This window comes from Homo sapiens, chromosome 4 (assembly GCF_000001405.40).
Source record: "Homo sapiens chromosome 4, GRCh38.p14 Primary Assembly".
Taxonomy (NCBI): domain Eukaryota; kingdom Metazoa; phylum Chordata; class Mammalia; order Primates; family Hominidae; genus Homo; species Homo sapiens.
Window position 1 is genome coordinate 124,191,921 of NC_000004.12, and position 24,154 is coordinate 124,216,074.

Consider the following 24,154-nt stretch of genomic DNA (forward strand, 5'->3'; position numbering starts at 1 on the left):
AGGACTGTAAAAAACAGGTGATGTATAAAGACTAAAAAAGCATATTTTCTTTTTTTTTTTTAGCTCCTGAAGTTTAAGAAAATTGTTAAAATGCTAGCTGACCACTAAGCTAATAAAACACAAACTACAGTGGTCACACAAGACAAAGAATACAGACTATAAAAACATAATTTAGAAAAGCTGCTAAAAAATAAAACCCACAACAACAAACTTGAGAGTGAAGATAATCTGATTTCCAGAGCTGTCACATTATAATATTCAAAATGTCTAGTTTTCAAGAAAAAATTACAGGGCATTCAAAGAAAGAAGAAAGTATGACCTATTCACAGGAAAAAATAAATTAGTAGAAAAGCCTCCTGGAGAATCCCAGATATTAGATTTGCTAGACAGATTTTAATCAACTATTTAAATATGTTGAAATAGCTAAATGAAACCATGGAGAGAGAATGAAAGGATGCCAGGAAAATAATGCTTCACAAAATAGAAAATGTCAATAGATAAAAATTATTTAAAAAGAGCCATATAAACTTTCTGGAGCCAAAAATACAATAATTGAAATGAAAAGTTCACTAGAGGAATTCAATAGCTAATTTGAGCAAAAAGAAGAAAGAATCAGCAAATTTGAAAACAGATTAATTATGGTTATCTATTCCAGGGAGCCAAAAAAATAAAAATAAAGAAAATGAATGGAATCTAAGAGATTTTCAGGTCATTATCAGGCTCACTAACATATGAATAATGGGAGTTCTGTGGGAGAGGAGAAAAAAGAGCAAAAAGAATATTTTAAAAACAATGGTCATAGTTCTCTAAATTTGATGAAAGACATGACTCTAAACATACAAGACACTCAAAGAACTCCAGGTAAGATAAATTTAAAAGAGAGCCACACTGAAACACGTTATAGTCAGATTGTCAAAAGCAAAACTGGCTACATCATTTTACTTTCCCATCAGCAATGTACAGGCATATCTCACGGATATGGCAGGTTCAGTTTTATACCACTGCAAAAAAAGTGAGTATTACAATAAAGTGAGTCACACAATGTTTTTGGCTTCTCAGTTAATATAAAAGTTATGTTTATACTATACTATAGTCTATTAAATGTGCAATAACATTATGCCTAAAAAATAGTTTATGTGCCTTTATTAAAAAATACTTCATGATAAAAACGTTAATGAGCCTCTGAATCTTCAGTGAGTCTTAACTGAGAGTTTTGCCTCATGCCTCAATGTGATGGCTGCTGACTGATCAGGGTGGTGGTTGCTGAAGGCTGGTGAGGCAGTGACAATTTCTTAAAATGAGACAACAATGAAGTTTGCTGCATCGATGGACTTTTCCTTTTGTGAAATATTTCTCTGTTGCATGCAATGCTGTTTGATAGCACTTTATCCACAGTTTCAAAATTGTGGAGTCAATCATCTCTAACCCTGCCACTGCTTCATCAACTAAGTTTATGTAATATTCTAAATCCTTTGTTGTCATTTCAACAATGTTCACAGCATCTTCACTAGGAGTGGGTTCCATTTCACAAAACCATTTTCTTTGCTCATCCATAAGAAGCAACTTCTCATTTGTTAAAGTTTGATCATAAGGTTGCAGCAATTTAATCTCATCTTAAGGCCCCACTTCTAGTTCTCTTGCTATTTCCATCATCTGCAGCTACTTCTTCCACTGAAATATTGAACTCCTCAAAGTCATCCATGAAGGTTTGAATTAACTTCTTCCCAACTACTATTAATGCTGATATTTTGACTTCTTCTCATGAATCATGAATGTTCTTAATGGCATCTAGAATGGTAAATTCTTTCTAGAAGATTTTTAATTTACTCTGCTCAGATCCATCAGTGGAATCACAGTCTATACCAGCTATAGCCTTACAATATGTATTTCTTGAATCATAAGACTTGAAAGTTGGAACTATTTCCTGATTCATGGGCTACAGAATGAATGTTGTGTTAGCTTCATCTAACCTATTTATCTCGGCTTTTGATATGCCTTCCTTACTAAGCTTAATCATTTCTACCTTTTGATTTAAAGTGGGAGATTTGAGACTCTCCCCTTCACTTAAACACTTAGCATCCATTATCTTGTTATTACTTGGCTTCATTTCAATATTGTTGTGTCTTAGGGAATAGGGAGGCCCAAGAAGAGAAAGAGATGGGGCAACAGCTAGATGGCGAAACCCTCAGAATAGGCACAGCATTTATTGACTAAGTCTGCAGTCTTTTATGGGCACAGTCTGAAGTACCCCAGAACAATTACAATAGTATCATAAAATCACTGATTTCAAATCACCATATGTAATAATGAAAAAGTTTTAAATATTGTGAGAATTATCAAAATGTGACACAGAGACATGAAGTGAGCGCATGTTTTTGGAAAAAAATGGCACTGACATATTTGCTTGACACATTTGCCACAAACCTTTCATTTGTTAAAAAAAAAATCCAAAGTAAACATTATCTGCAAAATGCAATAAAATGAAGCAAGATAAAACAAGTTATGCTGGCATGAGTGTTCTGATTTCTCTGTATACTCACCAACACTTGTTAATATCCATCCTTTTTTTATTATACTTTAAGTTCTAGGGTACATGTGCACAACATGCAGGTTTGTTACATATGTATACATGTGCCATGTTAACATCCATCTTTTTTAGTAAAGTCATCTTAGTGAGTGTGAAGTGGTATCTCATTTTTGTTTTTATTTGCATTTAGCTAATGGCTAATAATCTTGAGCAATTTTTCATGTGCTTGTTAAAAAATGTCTTAAACTGGCAATTGGAGAAAACATTTTGGTCTTTGATCCAGCTGACATGAAGGTAATTTAGTAAATTTACTCAATAAGACATATTCAATTAGTCACCTATTCTGCTGACAGAACTGGGTATAGGACCTCCCTTCTCAATGAGGACAACTTGATTAAAGAAAACTTGCCTGGAGCCTATGACGTCGTCCTACAGAAGGAAGCAAAAGAAACATCATCCAAACATTTCAAGGGGAATTTATCTCCAAAAAGGATTCACTATAGAGATGTGCATAATATTTCAGAAGCTGTTCTTCATTTTCCATATTTTACAAGATGCCCTGGACTCTATGAAACAGGAAAAGAAAAGTGTAATCTGAGGACTAGTTGAAATGAAAATGTGAGAAGAAACGAAAATGTGAGAAAAAATGAAGAAAATGATGATAACTCATAAAGGTAAAATTTCAAGATTAACAGAATTCAAATCTCCATTTGAGGTAATGAAAAACATAAATGGCATTAGAGGATACTAGCAAGGTGAAGAACAATAATAAGAAACTCTCCTTGAATTAATTGGAAAATGACAAAAATGTTAATGATAACATGGTTTACGAAGATTGAAAAAGAGACTGAAGCCAATGGAAAAATTAAATACATAGCTAAGAAAAATATCTAAACAACCTTTCAAATAACACAGTTCAGATGATCTCAACAGATCTCTAGGTCACCCCTCTCTAACTCCTTGAGAATTAATCATAGCTGGCTTACCACCATTCTCTTCAATACTTCTCCTCGCATGATTCTTGATTTTTGGAAATTACAATATTCACATAGATGATACCTCTCACACCCTGGCCTCTTAGTTCCTTAACAAGCATCCACTCCAATATTCAAAAATAATGATGTAAAATTACTGAAACTACATTCCTTGTGGGACCTCAGATTTGGAAATCTCACTCTCCGCCTACTTCCTACTTGTTCTATCTCACTCTCTCCAACACATGTAGACAATTATTCTGCTTCTCCAGCAACCTATGTTCCATGAAGCATTTTTGCTTCCCTCTCCAAGTACCACTTTCCCTCTTCCTCAGCTTATCTTTTAGCACCAATCATTATAATCATGCCTGTACACCACCAACTCCTGTCTTCCCCATACCTTTGCCACAACTGCCTGGCAAAACCTAAACCCTGGTTAAATCCAGCTCTCTGCCTACTCAATTTCTATAGCCATGCAATAGAATAGTGTAAAAAGGCAAAACTATGTTGAATGGCCTTACTTGAAATTGCTGACACAGATTTGGAGTACTCATAGAGCTATCAGCTGAACATCCTTATTCTATTCTCCCAGTTAGTCTCAGGACCTTACATCTTCTCTAATCTCCAATAGATCCTCACCATTTTCACTCTCAGCTGATGACCTTGATTTATACTTGACCAAAATTAAATTAGGTAATCATAAGCATCCTCCACGCGCCCCACCAGCACATCTTCACACTTACTCGCCTGTGCCACCCATATGCTCTGCTTCCCTCCTTACATTATGTAAACTATTCTTCCTCATCTAAGGCCAAGCTCCTCACCAGTATAATAGATTCTATCACTTCTCACTTATTTTAGGTCTCTTTCCCAGCAAAGTGCCCCTTTACTCATTCTAGTTTTCTGCATCCTAATTTTCTCCCTTTAATTGAATCATTCCCATTAGAATACATACATGCCTTATTTTTCATTTTAAAAAAGAAAGTGCTTTTTTTTTTTTTTTTTTTTTTTTTACTCTATAGCCAACTCTACTAGCTATCACTCCACTTATCTGTTTACCTTTACAACAGTATTCTTTGGAAGGGTTTGTAATCATTTTGCCAATCTTCTCCCTGATCTCTTAAACATACTCCAATCGATTTTTCAATGTCATTCTACCAAAATGCTTAATGCCCCAAGCTCGCCAGCTATCAGGTTGCTAAATCCAAGGGTCAATTCTTAGACTTCATCATACTTTTCCTTAAGCAGCCACAGTTGGTACCTTATTTTTCTTGGAGCATTTTGCCATTGGCTTCTGGACATCACTTTGTTTGCTCTCTTTCTACTTTTTGGGCTGCTCCTTCTCAACCCCTTTGTCAGCTCTTCCTCAACTACCTTACCTCTAAGCAATGCAGTGCTCTAGGACTCAGGCCCTGAACTTTTCTGAAAAGTTTTCAATACAGTAATGTACTTTAAAAATTATCTGTGTTACCCATTCCTTAACACCAAGATCAGCATCTCTATATGGAAATCTAATGAGCAACTCAAATTTTCAAAGCTGATATACTGGTTTATTTCTATTCAAAATCCACCCTTTCTGCCATCTTGTTTATATCCCATGAATTGCTCAGACAATGTAGTATATAATCAAATTTGTATTTTAAAAAGATCACTCTGTTAATGCCATGGATTAAAGGAGAATAAGTGCAGATTTGAGAATGTCAGATACAAAGATAAGAAAGTTGTATGAAACCACTTAGGAAGAGTATATTTAAAAGAAAGTGGTTGAAAACACTTCTTTTAAAGTTCATGTTAGATCCTCACTTCATTACATAGCAAAATAAATCTCAAATGTATTTAATGATAAGATGCAAAAATTAAATTATTAAAACATATTAAAAGTATGCTGTATCTAAACAATGTGATTTTATATTCATTTAAATATAATGAAATATAATATTTCTTGTTTGGGCACAGTGGCTCATACCTATAATCTCAGTACCTTGGGAGGCTCAGCAAGAGGATTGCTTGAGGCCACAAGTTTGAGACTAGCCTGGGCAACATGGTGAGATGCCACCTCTGCAAAAAATTTAAAAATTAGCTGGGTGTGATTGGTATGTGCCTGTAGTTTTAAGTGCATTGAAGGATTGTTTGAGCCCAGGAGCTTGAGGTTGCAGTGAGCCATGATTGTGCCACTGCACTCTAGCCTGACAACAGAGTAGGACCCTGTCACAATATATATATATATATATAATTAATATATAAATATATATACATATATTTCCTGAGAATATTTAACAACATAGAAAAGAAGATAACATAAGTTAAGAAATAAAAGATGCAAAATTATATGTTGCATATTTTGTATTAATACAATATTTTAATTTTTATCTAAAAAGATTCATTGAAAGGTACAAATTAAAAGATTGTCTCTAGGTAGACTTACTTGGGTTTCTAAAAAAATTTCTTTTTTCTACTTTTTTAAACCAGATTTTCTATTTTGAGTTTGTATTACTTATACAATTGAAAGTTTCCATTATTTCCTAGTAAGGGGAATGATTTCTTAGAGGAAAGGAAATTTTTTGGGCATATAAAATAGAAATATTCATAACAATGAGTAAATCCCCATCATTATTCTACCTAGACTAATGTTATGAGCAGGGCCTTCTTGTGTTAAATGCTAGCAAGAAGAACTGAGGCAAACTTTTGAAATGACATGCTTAGGGAAGATTTATAAACAGGGAGTTAAGATGATTACAAAGTCCTGGATAGGATGTTTGTTAACTAGAATTTTGGGTACAGTGGAAGATTCCCTCAATCATTCTATGGACAAGAGAATGAATGAAGGAACATCATAAGGAACATAAAGTACAGAAGTTTTCTCTGCCTTCAGGAGGGATGAATACAACAAAAAATGTCAATCTAAATTCATTTCCTTCAACTTGAAACAAAGGTTAGTATTTGTTATATATTAGATTCACAGAAATTAAAGACAGTTCATTTTTCAAAATAAGATGATAAGGAAAATTCTGGAGATTAGGAAACTCAATATGGCTCTACCTGGGTCTGAGTGAGGAGAAAATCAAGAGACTTACTTCAGGTTATTCATTTATGAACGAATATTTTTTTCATTCAGGCAATCCTTCAATGCATACTGCCTCCACATATCTGGAGACATTATGGAACAAGTAGAGAGACATAATTTAGCAATCACTAAATATTCATGATGAGCAAATAATCATGGACAAATTTTATTTTCTTCTTTATGGGAGACTAAACAATAATCTCTAGTCATTTCTTATTTAAATAAAATGTTTGATTTTGTCCACTCTAAAATTGTAATTGATAAACTACTAATACAGATGACACTACTAATTCATATTATCTAATACAGATTTTATAACATATCCTAGATTTCTTGTCAATACCCTGTGAAAAGAGCTCATTTTCTCTAAAATAGAATTAAATCTACTATATTGTAATTTATGCAAATATATTATTCTGTACATTCCAGCTTGACCCTAGCCTGCCAAAATAGAGATGCTGAAAATCAAAGCGATGAGCCACTACCACCAACTGCAATAATTTTTACTGAATGCACTTAGAATTCCTGGCCTGTGTTCTGATTGCCAATACCTAACCCTTTCCAAAGAACCAAGATTAGGCTGTTTAGAGAAGATATACCATCACGGGGAAGCCAGAGACCAAGGAAAGTGCTCACTTTTAGTCGCCTCTTCCAATCATCAAATATTCTTCCTTTCCTTCCCTGTTCTTGCATCCTGCAGCAACAGGATTCATTATATTATGTATAGATTTTAAGTTAATATGTCTGTTTACAGATCTGATAATCATGGTGATAGGTGCCTTGGAAAATAAAGGAGATGTTACCAGCCGTAATGTTGATCCCTGACTTCAAATCTCCTATCATGCCAACAACATATCTTATCCACACTTGCCTCTAAACGTAATACATGTCCTGACAATTACCATGAAAGTTCTTTGCATATTGACTCAGATCAGTAAGATGAGTAAAAAGGCTTTCCAATCTTAGGAATTCTGACTTTCAAAGTAAAATTCAATAGAAGATTTCTAGAAACATAATTTAAGTAATTTTGAACTGCTGAATAAAATTTATTCCATAAAATATGCTGTGGCCACAATTTCCTAAATGTGCTCTAGTTGGAAATTTTTTTTTAATCTTGAAGTTTGGATGAGGTCCTTTGATCAAGGAAAGACTAGACCATATGCACACATAAGAGAATTCTCTAAAATTACAAAAAATAATAGCAAAAAAGGTCAGGGCTTTTCTTTCTCATTTTTTGGGTTTGTGTGTGTGTGTGTGTGTGTGTGCACGTGCGTGCGTGCTAGCCTGAATTCTAGGAGCATGAAGAACTTTAAGCCAAAACATAAAATCAATGCATTAAAAAATGAAAGCAAACCAAAAAAAGAAAAGAAAAGAAAAGAAATCCCCAAACCTTCACAGTCGGAAAAGTATTGACTTGGCCTTCCTAAAGTGTTGTCTTGACCTAAAGTACATCCTGTGACTCATATTCCAATTACTGTTATAGTTTTTCTGGCCCAAATTGCCAGGAGGAAAGGAAGTACTTCTATACTTACGGTGATTAAATGCCCTTAGTATACACAATCTTGTAAAAGCTGCACCCTGAAAAACATACAGTGTTTTATATTTCTTTGTACCTGTTACACTTTTATGAATTCTTCTTGGAGTAAAAGTACATTCTGTCACTATCTGAAAAAAGGATCTAAGTTACAGTAACATTACCAGTGTTGAAAAATGTCTTATTTTCCTAATACCATAATGCTGGCTTATTTTTTTTTTAATGCCATTGTACTGGGTCCTTATGGAAAACACATTAACTTCTATTTGCAAGCAGGTGAGAATAATGGTTTGGCCCATTATTTGCAAGAGATTCAACATTTGTTTATTCAGAAACCATTTCTAAAGGCCCTTCCAAGAAAGCAGCTTGGGGACTGTCATGTGGAATTTGGAGCTGCTCATAGGTAGCAAAACCACATCAACTTCAAAATGCCTTCTGTGAACGAAGATGGAAAATTCTATGAGATTAAAAGCTCAAAGAAAAATTTTCCAGCCATTTCCAATTTTAGATACCCTTTATCATAATCACTTAATTGATAGGTTATGGATATTATAACATGGATTTTTCCCATAATTTTTATTATTTTTATATTATAGAAATGCCTAGTTTTAAAATATTCTCATAGAAAATTATCACAGAAAATAACAAAAACAAGAACAACAAAGAAAGATCCTTCTTTTATTAAAAGTTCCTGCTGTAAATAGAAATTATACATTCACTCAACTTTCAGAAGTTCAATTTATATGCAATTGTTTAGCAAGGCACCTATTGCACGGATCACTGTAAACATTAATCTTTTTAATTAGATCTCTTCCATAATGATAGCTTGCACTTAGATACTTTAAAGTTACATTTTCAAAATAATGTGTTCATCTTTTTTTTCAAAGCCAACTTCTCTATTACTAAGAAACATTAATTATTTTCTTTTAAACATTTTCTTGAATATTTTTCCACATATCTATTTGGTTCTTTCTAAATGGTTTCATTGTCACCAAGTGGCTGTCTGGAATAGATTACTTTATCAAACAGCAATATGTGAGTTATCACTGACAAAATAATCTCAGGAGTAGAAAAACCTACTTAGCTAGGAGTACAGGGTTACCATTTTTTTGTTGTTGTTGATAACTCTTAATTTAAAGTAAACTGAGAGTTTGTAGAAATTGAGGAACCAAGAAAGTTTAAAAAACCAAAAACATATATACATATATAGGTTTATAATTTTATATGCCTTTATAAACATATATATATAAGGTTTTTAGCAGTTTTCTGTCAACTCCACACAGCTTTCTTTAACATAACTGCTGCTATGTTTTCATCCCAGCAGTACAAGAAAGGAAGAGAGGCAGATCAAGGATTAGTTTCTGCTACACTCGTGAATTTTACAGGCTTATCCCAGACATGGAGACGCAATTTGCCTTTTATCTAAATCAAAACTAGTTTGACCATAACCGTTATTGGCTGTGTAACAATAAAGAGGCTTTGATTACCTTTTTAAATTTTTTTAACAAGTGTAAATGCAACAAAAATATAAACTGATTTGAGATTTTTATTTTTAAAAATCCTAAAGACACATATTTCTATGATTTGTATGAGTAGAATTTCATTGCCAAAGTCTCTGGGTTACACCTCGCTATTGGTAAGACTTTTAATAAACAATTTTTAGGGGAAAGCACACATAAGTTGGCAAGATTTGTGCTGCCCCACAAAAGCTATTCTGCCTTCAGATTCTGAGCCAGGCCACCCCTAGAATGTCCATTCCAGCATGAAATGGCTGTCATCAAGCATGATGAGTAAATAAAAGCCTGTGCATTTACTGCAATATTAGGAAATTTTCTATCATCCTGGACTTAACAAGGGTAAAATATGTTTGGAATATCTTCAGTGTGCACAGATCTGGAATACTATCTCCTCTTAGGAATGAGCTAAAAGTAGGCCAGTAATATGTTGGAGGGTGAGAGGCTATAAACAAGGATATATTAAGTTTAGAAACAACAGGAGAGGTGAGTGAATAGGGCTATAAGTGGAGTCATCATTTCTACACACATCAGCGTGGGAAGTGATCATTCTAATAACTCCATTTGTGAAAATATAAGGAGAATTTTGTTATTACACATTGCCAGTAAGTAATCAAACTTATCTCTCCCAAACATATTTGATGTTTGCTAAAGATTTATGTAAGTTATGTTAAAATATTGGTAGACATTGGATTCTCTAACTTCCTTGGGACTTGGAGTTAAACATTTAAACAAGACTCAGCAACTTCCAGTGTAGTTCCTAGGCCATCAGCCAGGTTGTGCAACTCAGCAAAACAGCATGCACTTTTTCCTTCTCGTTTTTTTTTTTTATTTTTTCCTTTTCTTGTTACTGTTTTAAACCACCCCACGTAACAGCTTGTTAAGGGCTTCAGGCTAGTTGGTAGGTGCTAGGTAATGTAAAAAGATTGATGTCTACCCAGAGAAATTTGTACAAAAAGATACTCCAAAAAGATTATACTATATATTAACTGTCAGCTGGTAAGTTTTTTTTATTACTCCATTGGCTATAGGTGTAACAAATATTTATTTTTCATTGATTATTCCTTACTAATAATTATGTTTGTCTCAGATGAAGCATTTCGTACTTTGATATTTGATGATTATTGTTAATTACTTATGCAACTCTGGTCTCTTTCCTTTTGATTGTAATATATTTTCTGACATTAGCAATAATAACAATAACCAACACAGTGGCTCGATGTGCCAGGTTCTCTTAAAGTGGTTTACCTTATTAATTAATTTAATCCTCCTTCATCAGAACTTTGGGAGCTAAGTACAAATATTACCCCCTGTTTGCAGTTGAGAAAATGGAAGTATGGAGAGGTTGAGTAACTTGTCCAAGTTCACACAACTTATAAGTGGTTAAGTCCCAAATAAAACTCATAAATATTCAGTCATGTTAATAATTTATTAACACTATCAATTACTTAGAGATATTATATAGTTATCCCAACTTATATTTAACTAAGACATTGGATTATATGTTGCTACCATGGAAAGACCATTATATTTGAAATAATAATAAAAACCAGTAGCTATATAAAATCTTTTTTCTGCTAAGATTTTCCAAGTGTTTTACACATATTAACCAATTTGATCTTCACAACAGCCCTACGAGGTAAATTCTATTAAAATCTCTGTTTTGTAATAGAGAAATAGGCACAGAGAAATTAAATAACTTGTCCAAAGACACCCAGCTAATATGTGGCAGTGCTGGAACTTGAACCAGGCAATTTGGCTTGACTCTGTTACTTAAGTCTGTTGTGTTTCTCAAAAGCCAAAGGAGCTATATTCTCAGTTTAAATTGGGTAATTTCATTCCAGCTCCTGTGTTTACTTCCATTGACATTTTTATGTAATGTTAGTGGTATGTCTTTATTTCTATATGTCCAATGTCTAACAAGTCCTTGCCATCCATTAAGCAATCAGTAAATATCTAAGTAAATGATATGTGACATATGTGATATGATATGATTGTCAAAATAATTTCTGCATTGAGAAAAATAGTGCTTACACTGACACCACAATGAATTATCTAAAATCCATATAAAGGAAAGTTACTGAATGGCTACATTGAATGCTTTTTAAAATTTCCCATTTCCTAGTGGTTCTTCTCCTGCTTGTTGTACCTGGATTTTGTATTCCTTTAAGCAGAAAGTGTTCAGAAATTTTACTGACACTGTGAAATTTGGCTCAACCGCTGATTCAAAAAATTAGCAGCATCTACCATGGGATGCTGAGACCAATGTCAAGGTCAAAAGCAATCCCTTATTCAGTAGGTTGTTTTGCTTTCCTAATAAATGCCTCTTATCTTCCTTTTGAAGGATGACTTTAAAAGCAGAAATTTGAAAATTTCACAAGATTCGTAATATTAATTCTTTTCTTAAGAAATCACTTTAGACTATAAGCAAGGAGAAAGCTTTAGTAAGGCCAGTCTTAAAGACTCAAGATTTTAAGATAGTTTAGATAAGGTTTGAATAAGCAGCCAAAAGTTCCAAACCAGAATTCCAAGCCTGTTAGTAATCATAATATTATTTAGCACTTAGATAATTCTTTGCAGGCAGTAACCATTAATCATTGGTATCCCACTGTGTAATATGCACATTTTAAGATTATCATTTTATAGAGGCAAATATTGAAGTTGAGAGGTGAAAGGTGCGTTCAAGTCACAAATTGGGTTATTGCTTGAGCCAGAATTTTACAGGAAGTTTTTCTGACTCTATCCCTATCATATTCCACAAGCAATTACCTTACTTTCGTGCCAGGATTTTTAAATGTAATTATCTGAATACACAAAGTCAGTCAAACTGCTTGCAATACTCAGGTTGTTTACGGGAGACAGTGCGAAAAGGAACTATAAGACATAGGTCTTATACTCAAACACATGCATTCTATGGAATCTTGGACAAATTTCCAATTATTCTTGAGCCTCAATTTTCTTATCTGCAAAACAGACTAATATTCTTTACCTCCTGGGGACTTTTGAGAGTTAAATATAATAATATGTATGGATAATTATTTATAACTCTAATCTTTTGAGTGTACACTTTATGCAAGTATAAAAATCCTCAGCAATTTATGTTTAACCTGATTTCATATGTATATTCATTTATTTATTCAACAGACATTACATTAGATGCCTGCAATGTATATTGTCTCCTAGAGTAACACCTAAAATGAACTCCTTGGTCTTACAGAGCTCATAATCTTAAGGAAGGGGGCATAAAATAAACAAATAAATACATAAAGTGAGGTATAAATTCCATGTAAGATAAAAGTGGCATAAATTTCATGAAAAAAACAAGTAAGAGCATTAGGAAGTGATTTGGATGGGGTATGATTTTATCAAGAGTGGTAGATAAAGTTTACGTGTAAATATATTTGAGGAAAGACATGAGAGAATTGCAGGAAATGGTTTTGTGACATTGGAGGAAAGGGACATTTTAGGTAAAGGGAACAGCAAATGCAAAATCCCTGGGCTTGCTTAGCTTTTTCAGAACTAACAAGGAATGGAGTTAGCAAGGAAGAGATTACAAAGGATACAGGGATATCAGATTACACAGCATTTAAGACTTTGTGGGTTGTGGTAGGAATTTTGGATTTTACTTGTAAGACTCTAAGTAAAAGAAGGCTGGGCGCGGTGGCTCACGCCTGTAATCCCAGCAGTTTGGGAGGCCCAGGAGGGTGGATCACCTGAGGTCAGGAGTTTTCGAGACCAGCTTGACCAACATGGTGAAACCCTGTCTCTACTAAAAACACAAAAATTAGCCAGGCGTGGTGGCACATGCCTGTAATCCCAGCTACTTGGGAGGCTGAGGCAGGAGTATCACTTGAACCTGGGAGGCGGAGGTTGCAGTGAGTGGAGATCTTAGCCACTGCACTCCAGACTGGGCAACAAGAGGGAAAGTCTGTCTCAAAAGAAAACAAACAAACAAAAAAGGAGACTAAAAGTCTTTAGCAAGTTTTGAGCAAAAGAGTAATATGATTTGATTTATATTTTCTGGATGTTTCCAGAGGGCCAAAGCTTTGTGCAGGGTCTTTATTTGTAGCTGACTTCTTGTCTTTGGTACACAGGTAGGTATGCTAACGAAGTACTTTTGGTGTTGAAGCTTTGGGGTGTCATTCACTAGGTGGTGCTTAGGCATAATGGTCAGTCAGCAGGCTCTTGCTCAGTCTTGTGGCTCCCTTACATTTCCTCACAATTGCAGCCATGCTCCCTATCAATGTTCTGAAAATGTGGGTTCCTCCCCGACTTGAGAGCTGGCTGAGTTCATGGCTTGGCACTCCTGGGCTGCCCACCACAACTCTGGGGCAATCTCAGGGTTTATGTTCCCTCCCCAACTTGGAGACAACAGAGGAAGGCACCTTGGCAGTGGTTGTGGCCAAGGGTCTTTTACTTTTCTCTTGGGGCTCCACCCCAGAGAGATGCAGAGCTGCAACCAATCAGCACAACCGACACAGGAGAGAAGGCTGCGCTGTGGGTTTCAGCCAGAGGGTCAGGAGGTGGGGAGGGTGGGGAAGACCCTGCCTGATGATTTATATTTTAAAAGGCTCATTCTGGATGCTGTATTGAAGATAGAATATAAGCAAGGGTGAAAAGGAAGACAGTGTAGGAAGTTATCTCAATTAAATGATTGAAATAAAATGTCAGCAGTGGGGATCAGATTCAAGATATATTTTGGCATGGCTGGCATATGATACAACTTTAGTTTAGATAAGATTAGAAATGAAGTTAAAATTTGTCAGTGTGTCGATGTATTAAAAATCACGGGATTGGATGTGATTACCAAGAAAAGTATAAAGAGAGAAGATAAATATATGAGAAAAAATAAAAAGCCCTAAAGTACTGCAGTTTACCAAGGACAACAGGAAGAACCAGCCAAGATTGAGAGGAACAACAATGAAGATCAGAGCAGGACAGGGGAAGCAATGTCAACAAGGAAGGAGTCGGCCAGGCGCCGTGGCTCACGCCTGTAATCCCAGCACTTTGAGAGGCCCAGGCGGGCAGATCACGATGTCAGGAGTTTGAGACCAGCCTGGCCAACAAGGTGAAACCCCGTCTCTACTAAAAATAAAAAAAAATAGCTAGGAGTAGTGGCGGGTGCCTGTAATCCCAGCTACTTGGGAGGCTGAGGCAGGAGAATCGCTTGAACCAGGGAGGCAGAGGTTTCAGTGAGCCGAGATTGCAGCCACTGCACTCCCGCCCAGGTGAAAGAGTGAGACTCTCTCTCAAAAAAAAAAAAAAAAAAAAAACCAACCAAAAAAAAAAAAAAATAAGAAGGAAGGAGTGATCAACTACATCAACTGCCCCTGAGCGGTTGGGTAATATGACGAATGCTTGACCATGTGATTAATCAATGTGTTAGTCATTAGTGACCTTAAAAAGAGGAGTTACTTTTTTTAAATTTTTTTATCGTTAAACAAATGTATGTATTTAGTTTACGTTTATAGGTCAACAATTTATGTGGGGTTGGGCCAAGTTGTTCTTGTGGCTCACTCACATGTTTGGCGGTCTGCTGACTGTTGCCTAGGGCAGCAAGGCCATGGAGTTATGTGCACAAAAAAAAAGAGTTCTAATGGAGATGAGTAGATTAAAACCTGGTTGTCTCTCATCTGAACTACCGCATTAGCCTTCGGTCTTTCTCTCTCCAAGGCATTCTCCATTCTGCAGCCAGAATTACTTTTTCAAAAGAAAAATCCAGTGTTTCTTCTGCTTAATAATTCCAGTGCTTTTTATCTCTTACAGGACATTTATACAAAGCTATAACCTGTTCTCCAAAACTCTGCCCTCTGGGATTCAGCCTCACTGGTTTACTTTAGTTCCTTATACTTCTTCCTTCCCCAGGGACTTTGAACTGCATGACACATACTCAGAGTATTTCACAGAATTGCAATTGTACATTTTTATGTGATCATGTAATTAATGAGGATCTTCCCTAATTGAAAGCCCCATGAAGGTGGAAGTCAGCGTGATAACTTTACTCAACATACGTCCTCACACTAATGTCATACTGCATTATAAAGGCTCTATAAATACTTTTTGAGTGAATGAACACAACTTGTTTTGTAATTCTTTTTTTACATACGAACTATAAAATTCCTTTTAGAATCCTGAGGATAATGAATCTTTGACAGGAGTATTAAATACGTATTGTAATTATCTATTAAAACTCCATATTCTAATTATATTAGCACAATTAAAAAATATCTTAGAGAACAACAGAAACATCTAGATCTTCCTTCTTTAAATTTGTAAAGTAAAATGTTAGAACATGCTTTAAAAAAATGTGAATCATCATGAATGCTTACTTTTCACATGATCATTGATAATTCTCATAACATATTGGTTTCTACATGTACACGGCAGGACTGATTGTTGTGGACCAAGAAGTATAGGTAAGAAAATACCTCGCTTTCTTTATAGCTTTCTCAGACTACTGCTATTATTATTCTACCTCTAAGGCCAGCCTCCCAGTAGTGTTCTCATCTATCAGAACTTTTTTAACCAATTAACCTTTCTATTTAGCAGGAAAAAAATATATGAAACATTTAAACAGATACGACTTTAAAAGATATTGTATAAATTTAATATAGCTTATTTGTCATGAAGTCCATAAAACACTCTTCAACCTTTATATGTTTATAATATAAAATCAATGTGAAAGAACAAGTATTTTATTAGAAAGGTAACAATAAAACCAAATTATAAAAAGAAGACACTAAATAACTATCTAGTACTAAGTATTTGGCTAGGCTAATTTCCTGCAGAAAATGAATATCTACTATGTGTACCTACCTCAACCCCATCCACTCAGCAATATCTGTGAATTGACTGGGAAGACATATTAAACTGCGCTGCAGAATATGTAAGAAGCAGAGTCAAAGTATTAGTTTGTTCAGAGTTAAACATACATATAAAAGGACAGGGTTCATTTAGCATTAACTGTGAATCTCTGAGAGTATCTAATTTATTGTTTTTATTAATAAATATCATGTCCAGTATGAGGGTTAGGGGCAAGAGAGAAGGAATTTAAATACTTAGAACATTTTAGAGAACGTTCCAAGAGAAACCAAATACCTCAGACTATTTAGAGACAGAAGTATTTTGCAGTGAATGTGCTATGAAAGAATTTATTAAAGTAATTACCTTTACTATTCACTGATTTCCATAGCAACGGCACAAATTTTGATTTCCTTGAATTGATATTTAAGACTGTTTTGAGGAGTAAATTATTTCTCTGGTTTACTCATTCCTTTAATGCCCTCACCAACCTTCACCCACTATAGTGGAAAAAAAAATAGGACCACAAACTTGGTAAAGTTGGCTACAAATAACTGATTTTTCCTTAGTACTATTCTATGACCTGTGTTAATTTGTTTTCAAACCAAAAAACAGTGTTCTATGGAAGATTTCAGATAATTTCTACAAACTCAAGTTCATGGTTTTACATATAGATATGATATGTGATAAGGTAAACACAGAAGTCATAGAGGAAATTCAAGTGATTTCAGATGCTCCTCATAGGCATGCTTCCCCCAGTCTCATCATGCACACTTGAAGCCACCCTTTTCCAGATCAACTGCCTGTGAAAGATTTTCAGAACTCTGAGCCATTACTAAATGGCCATGGAAAGAAATTAAGCAAAGAAAAATTGGACAGACTTTCAGGAAAAGTTTCCTAATTGTGAAAACTATTAAAATGTGGAATAAATATCCTCTGAGGGAGAGGATAGATGCCCATCTCTGAGGCTTTAAAAACAGGATTTGACCAACACTTTGGGAAGAGAAATGAGGGCAATATTCATTACTTGGCAAGGAAGTGAGCTGGATGACATAATGGTCTTTTCCCTCTTTCATGCTAATGCCTCTTTAATGTTTCCATTTAAGTAGTAACTTAGTTTCAAAAGCGGACATTTTAATGTGGGAAGAGTACTCAGGTTTCAATGAAAACCTCACCAGAAAAAATCAGGAATGAAGGCCACCATTGACCCTGTACGTGGATTACTTTTGTATTTGACCACGTAAGACAATTGGATGGGCACCTAATATATTTCCTGGTACACTCCTATTGTGGTTGGTCTTCTTTATCTGTATGTCTATCTTGTTCAGTCTGCGCTTCAGCTTTGCAGGAAAATAGAAATTTTTTTTTCTGTGCTTGTTTATGCTAACCATGGTGCCTACAACTGCATCTGCTGCCTTTACACGGGACTGCAAACCTGTTTTTTTCAACCTTCTGTTTTATGGGTGTGCACACCCATAAATCTCCTGTGGCTGGGTTAAGGGAACATACAAGCAGCTCTTCAGCATTAAGAATGTGATGGGAGAGATTCAGGTAGATTTGAACTGCCATCATCAATCAAGACCAAGGAGAAGGCTGCTTTCCAGGATGTACACATGGCCTCTGTTTGCTGTTGCTGTTTTGCTTCTTTTAAGAGGTATGTAGTGAGAGAAAGTGTGAGGATTTACACATGAAACATTCCCACAGTGAATTTCAAGTGACTGAATAAAAATGTTGTAAGCGGATTTTATTGAACGTGAAGGTCTATCCTTTTTTAAAAGGAATATATTTTTAACTTATTTAGTTTTTATTTTTAAAATTCCACTCTTGATTTTTATAAGCTACCTTGTTTGATTTCTTGTCGTAAGCCAGTTGTGGATGATGCAAGGATTCCCAAGCTTTCAGCCATCGGTCCCTTATCCTTTTCTGACTAGATTACAGGAATGAAATTGTGTAAATACATAAGCCTTATACTCTTTAACTATTTAATAATTAAAACTGAGATTTCAGTAACAATACTTTGGATATTTCTGGATAGTTAATGTAAAATTAACAAAAAACCTGCTTTTATAATTAAATAGTATAAATGTATATTACTGTTTGCTTATGTTTTATATCCAGGTGAACCAATATATGTATGTCTGTTTCTACTGTCACTTGCAGCTCAACAGAACCCTGTAATATACATGAACAAGTTTCTGGAAGTTAAGAGGTAAGTAGCTGCTCATGTCATATTCTCTTTCTTAGAGTTCTGGAATCAGGAGAACATCTATCATGGAGCAAATAGACTTCCATTCAAATCGGAGTTGGCATATAACATATACATTATATGAAGCAATAAACAATTATTTTATATGGCAATAGTCTAAATATAACATGGCTCTGCATTTTGGGGCATGCTAAAATATATAAAATCCATGATAAATTCTCAGCTTTCCTGAATCTTCCCATGATACCACTAAGAATTTCATAACCCAAAGACCAAGATAGAAAATATGTTTTTGCAGAGACTAGAGTCACCCCAGAGTAAAACTTTAAGTGCAGATTACCTCAGATCCCTATAAAACTGATCTGCCTCTGAGAAAAGAACTAGCCAAAATATTCTTTTTGATGACAGGGTTGAAGTTCGGGATAGAAATGTAAATGTGTTCGGACATACTGAGAAATAAATCACATTGAAGAGATGGAGAAAGGAGTTGCTGGAGAGGCAAAATGAAAAGGCAGATGCTAAGGAACTGCACAAAAAGAAAAAATGTATCCTAATTGGGGCAGTGTGAACTTGTCAGACAGGGAAGAAGCATGAAGTCATAAATTGCTTAGAGAATTATAGCAGTACCTTGACATAGTAGGAAAAAGAAAGCTTATGTGTACTCAAGATCTGAATTCAAGTCCTGGCTCTATCTCTTACTGGATGTGAGATGCTGGACAAGGTACTTCTCTATTTCAATTCTCTCATTCAAATCTATGAATTCAAAAATTTGAATTAACCACCAAAGCCCCCTTTGGCTGTCAATTTTAATCTGCAGTGACATCCTGGTGGGTTGAAATTTAAGACAGTCATTAATGGATAATAAACAAAGACCATTTGTGTAGGAGTTTACCCCATGTGTATGGGTCTTATTCTTAGTAAATTGGGAAATTATAGAATGTGAATGGGGCAATCTTGAATTGTGAGGAGGAGCTCATTTTATCAGGCAAGATCCCGATTTTCAAATCAGTACCTGAATGTTGCTTATTTGATTAAACTCTGGTATACAGAAAGCATTAGCTTCAGCATTATGCCTCTACTACATAGGAGAAGAACTAAATTAGAAGGAAATAGATGTTTGACTGACTTAGAGAAATATTGAAAGAGTGGATTGATGATGCTTTCCAGGACCATTTAATTTGACTGATATAATAAAAATATTGGCAGTAATGAGAGTCTTCTGAATTAAAACCAGCCACGTTTTCTCATTAATATATTACTATTGGTGAAATTTTGTTTTAGATGGTCTTCCAAAGCAGGAAATATTTCCAATATAATTAATTATCACAGGCCGGGCGTGGTGATTCATGCCTGTAATCCTGGCACTTTGGGAGGCTGAGGCGGGTGGATCACTTGAGGTCAGGGGTTCGAGACGAGCCTGACCAACATGGTGAAAGCCAGTCTCTACTAAAAATACAAAAATTAGCTGGGTGTGGTGGGTTATGCCTGTAATCCCAGATTCTTGGGAGGCTGAGACAGGAGAATCGCTTGAACCCGGGAGGCGGAGGTTGCAGTGAGCCCAGATTGCGCCATTGCATTCCAGCCTGGGCGACAGGAACGAAGCTCCATCTCAGTTAAAAAAAAATATATATCACAAAAGGTGGAAGATGGGATTGGTCCTCTTCACTCATTTTTTTCAAGCAAGAGACTTCTCAACTGTATATATTTGTATATAATATGTATTTTTATATATATATATATGCCTCTAAATTAGCAAATTAAAGATTTAGGAAAGTACAGGTGACCCAGCTTTCTGTATGGGACAGCTTTCTGAATGTCCCAGTAATGTTTCAAAGGTACTAGTTACTTCAGTGGGTAGAACCTAGTGGATCAGAGTGCAATTATGTGTTCAATTCCAGTGAATTCCTATTAATTTCCTGACTGAAGTAATGCAGACACTACTGGCCTACCAGAATGAGGGCGAAATGTTATCAGTGGTTGTTCCCCTGCAGAGGAGACAATGGCCTGTTTCCTAGGTTGGCTTTGAGAAGTTTAATTGCATGGACTTAAGCTTTCAGAGTCAAGTTTTGACTATATTGTAGCTGTGGTTCCATAGCATCTTCCCTTTAGGGCTTGGCTGTGAGGCAAAGTCTTAATGTAAGGCAAAGTGAATGCAGGATACTTTTGACATAAGGCTGATATTTGTTGTAGTGACATTGAGGTAGGACTTGTGACATTCCCTTTACTGCTTATAGTCTCAACAATTCTTTTGAAAATTCTCTGGCCTCCTTTCTTTAGTTAGAAACATTTTCCAGCTGGAAGATACATACAGTGACTTTTTCGTGTCATCCTGCTGGTTTCTAAACATAATGATCAGGCTGACGTCTATGACATGGTTTATTCAGTCTTTTTCTTTGATTTTTATATCTTGTTTTGTGCCTGTCTTACTTCCTAGTTCAGTGAAACAAACAAAAAAAATGTTCTGGCCAGCAGCCATCTGGTAAAACAGCTGCTTTTGGCTCTGGGGAACCTGCAAATGGGACTGGGAAATAGAAAATGGAGTTTACTACTCCTAAGACCCAAATGCTCCTTTTGCTATTAATAGATCAAAATGAGCTTTAATTGAGGAAAACTGAGTTGAATGTCTTTCACATTCCTTATCTTTACTGACATCATTTCCACATTCGATGCTGTTAGCCCAGCTCTCCTTAATTTGGTTTCCAGATAAGGTTCCTCCTCCTTGATTTCCTGCTGATTACTTTTATGGGTTCTCCTAATCTATTCCTTTTAAAATGTGCTACTCTCTACATTTTATCCTTTTTCCTTAGTCTCTTATTTTGCTTCATGATCTGTTCTTTAAGCCAGCAGTCTTCAAACTTCAAGCTAGAGTCTCTCAAACTTGGCTGCATTTATGGGACTTTCTAAATTGAATGCCTGAGCTACAGCTCTGAAAATTCTGACTTAATGTTTCCAAGGGTGGGGACCAGAATCTGTATTTTTAAAATACTTCACAGATGATTCTTATGAGCTTTAGGTTTGAGAATCACTACTTTCATAAATTTTATCTATGTTCTCAGCTGAAAGACCATTGGTTTCTGAGTCTTTACTCTCTTTTTATTAACTTTCATTTTAAGTTCAGGGGTAAATGTGCAGGTTTGTTACACAGGTAAACTTGGGTCACGGGGGGTTTGCTGTACAGATTATTTCGTCACCCAACTATTAAACCTAGTACCCATTAGTTATTTTTCCTAATCCTCTTTCTCCTCCCAGCCTTCACCCTCCAATAAGCCCCAGGGTGTGTTGTTTCCCTTTATATATCTATGTGTTCTCATAATTTAGTTCCTATTTATAAGTGAGAACATGCAGTATTTGGTTTTTTGCTCCTGCATTATTTTGCTAAGGATAATAGCTTCTATCTTCATCCATGTTCCTGCAAAGTACATGATCTCATTCTTTTTATGGCTGAATAGTATTCCATGGTGTATATGTACCACATTTTCCTTATCCAGTCTACGATTGATGAGCATTTAGGTTGATTTCATGTCTTTGCTATTGTGAATAGTACTGCAAGGAACATATGTATGCATGTGTCTTTATGATACAGTGATTTATATTCCTTTGCATATATATCCACTAATAAATCAAATGGTAGCTCTGTTTTTAGCTAATTAAATTACCATACTGTTTTCCACAATGGTGGAATTAATTTACACTCCCAACAGTGTATAAGCATTCCTTTTTATCTCCACAACCTTGCCAGCACCAGTTATTTTTTGACTTTTTAGTAATAGCCATTCTGACTGGTGTGAGATGGTATCTTACTATGGTTTTAATTTGCATTTCTCTAATGATCAGTGATGTTGAGCTTTTTCTGTAGCATTGTTGGCAGCATGTATGTCTTCTTTTGAAAAATGTCTGTTCATGTATTTGTCCACTTTTTAATGGGTTTGTTTATTTCTTGTAAATTTGTTTAAGTTTCTTATAGATGCTGGATATTAGTCTGAGTCTTTATTCTTAACCCTGGCTTCTTATCTAAACTTCAGACCAATACCTCAAATTTTCTAAGAAACATTTCACTTGGATTATCCACGGTCATTTCAAATTCAATATAATCAATCAAAATTATTCAACTCTAACTCTTCCATCCACAGTCTGTCTCTTCCTTTTCTCTTACTTCAGATAATGCTTCTTCCTATACCAAGGGGGAAACCTTGTTCATTTTCAGCTTCTTGCTCTCCTCATTTTTGTTTTTTCCAGTTCATCATCAACACATGCCCATGATGGTTAATTTTATGTGTCAACTTGGCTGGGATACAGTGCCCAGATATGTGGTAAAATATTATTCTGGGTGTTTCCGTGAGGGTGTTTTTGGAGGAAATTAACATTTAAGTCGGTAGATGTTGAGTAAAGCACACTGCCCTGCATAACGTAGGTGAGCCTCATATGATCAGTTGAAGGCCTGAATAGAACAAAAGTCCAACCTACCCTGGGCAAGATGAAATTCTGCTGGCAGACAGCTTTCAGACTTGAACTGCAGCACTGGCTCTTTCTTGAGTTGCCAGCCTGCTGTTTCATCCTGCTGATTTTGTATTTGACAGCTTCCATAATCATGTGAGCCAATTCCTTAAAATAAATTCTACCCTCTGTCTCTTTCTCTCCCTGCCTCCCACACACATACAATTGGTTCTGTTTCTCTGGAGAACCCTAATACATGCATCTATTTACCTCAGAACTCTCTCTTAAATCTCTCTTCCTTCCATGTCTACTATTTCAACCTTGGGTTTGGCCTTTATCAGTTTTTGCCTGGAATATTCTAACTGGCATCTCACTGCTACCAATCTCAATTGCATTCATCGGTTTTCCACACTGTCTTGAACATGACCTTCCTACATCAGTAAGTCTGTTGATAGTGTCATCCTACTACTATGTGGAAACCTTGAGTGTTTCACTGATGTTTCCAGAAGGATTAAACTCTAAATTCTTTGTACACAAGGTATTTCATAGCATTTCACATTTACGTTAAAGCGTTAGCCTCAATTTCCAAACCCCCTCTTTTTATACCAATACATACATACATACATACTTCTCCAGCCAAGAAACCATTTATATTCCCTTAACTTAGAATGTGTTCTTTTTAATTCAGTAACTGTGTGTGTATTTTATCTTGGTTGCACTTCCCTTGACTCTAATCTACACAATTAACTCACTCTCTTATTTCAAAGCCAGCTCAAATATCACACTTCCCTGGACCTCCTCTTCCTGGAATTAAGCAGATAGCAATTGGCTTTTCCCTTTAATGCTCCTATAGCACATCTAAGAGCATAATTGAGCTTAATGCTTAACATATATTAAACATTTCTTAAGAATGAGACAATGCATTATCTCATTTAATCATCATTATTATCCCCATTTTAGGAAATTGAGATTTGGAGAAGTATACCAACTTGACCAGGTTCACACAGCAAGTAGATGGCAGACATAGGGATTGAATGACTCCAAAGTCTGTGCTCTTATGCACTATACTAAATTGTCTTTAATGCATCATCTACTACGTT

At 35.4% G+C, this 24,154-nt stretch overlaps 2 long non-coding RNA genes across 9 annotated transcripts in view; one reads left to right on the forward strand and one right to left on the reverse strand.

Annotated features, from left to right (window-relative positions):
• The window catches only part of LOC105377407 (uncharacterized), a 218,744-nt gene that overhangs the window by 158,484 nt on the left and 36,106 nt on the right, over nucleotides 1-24,154 (reverse strand). The gene's annotated exons all lie outside the window — the stretch shown is intronic.
• LOC105377406 (uncharacterized) overlaps nucleotides 1-24,154 on the forward strand; it is a 129,167-nt gene that overhangs the window by 7,368 nt on the left and 97,645 nt on the right. For 4 of the 8 annotated variants that reach the window (XR_001741814.2, XR_001741819.2, XR_001741815.2 and 1 more), the window contains exons 1-2: nucleotides 17,920-18,068; nucleotides 18,533-18,623. This is a non-coding gene — a long non-coding RNA (uncharacterized LOC105377406). Of the gene's footprint in view, nucleotides 1-16,000; nucleotides 18,069-18,532; nucleotides 18,624-19,028; nucleotides 20,001-24,154 lie in introns of those variants that run through there. The other 4 variants (XR_001741817.2, XR_001741813.2, XR_001741818.2 and 1 more) reach the window with 3 other exon arrangements.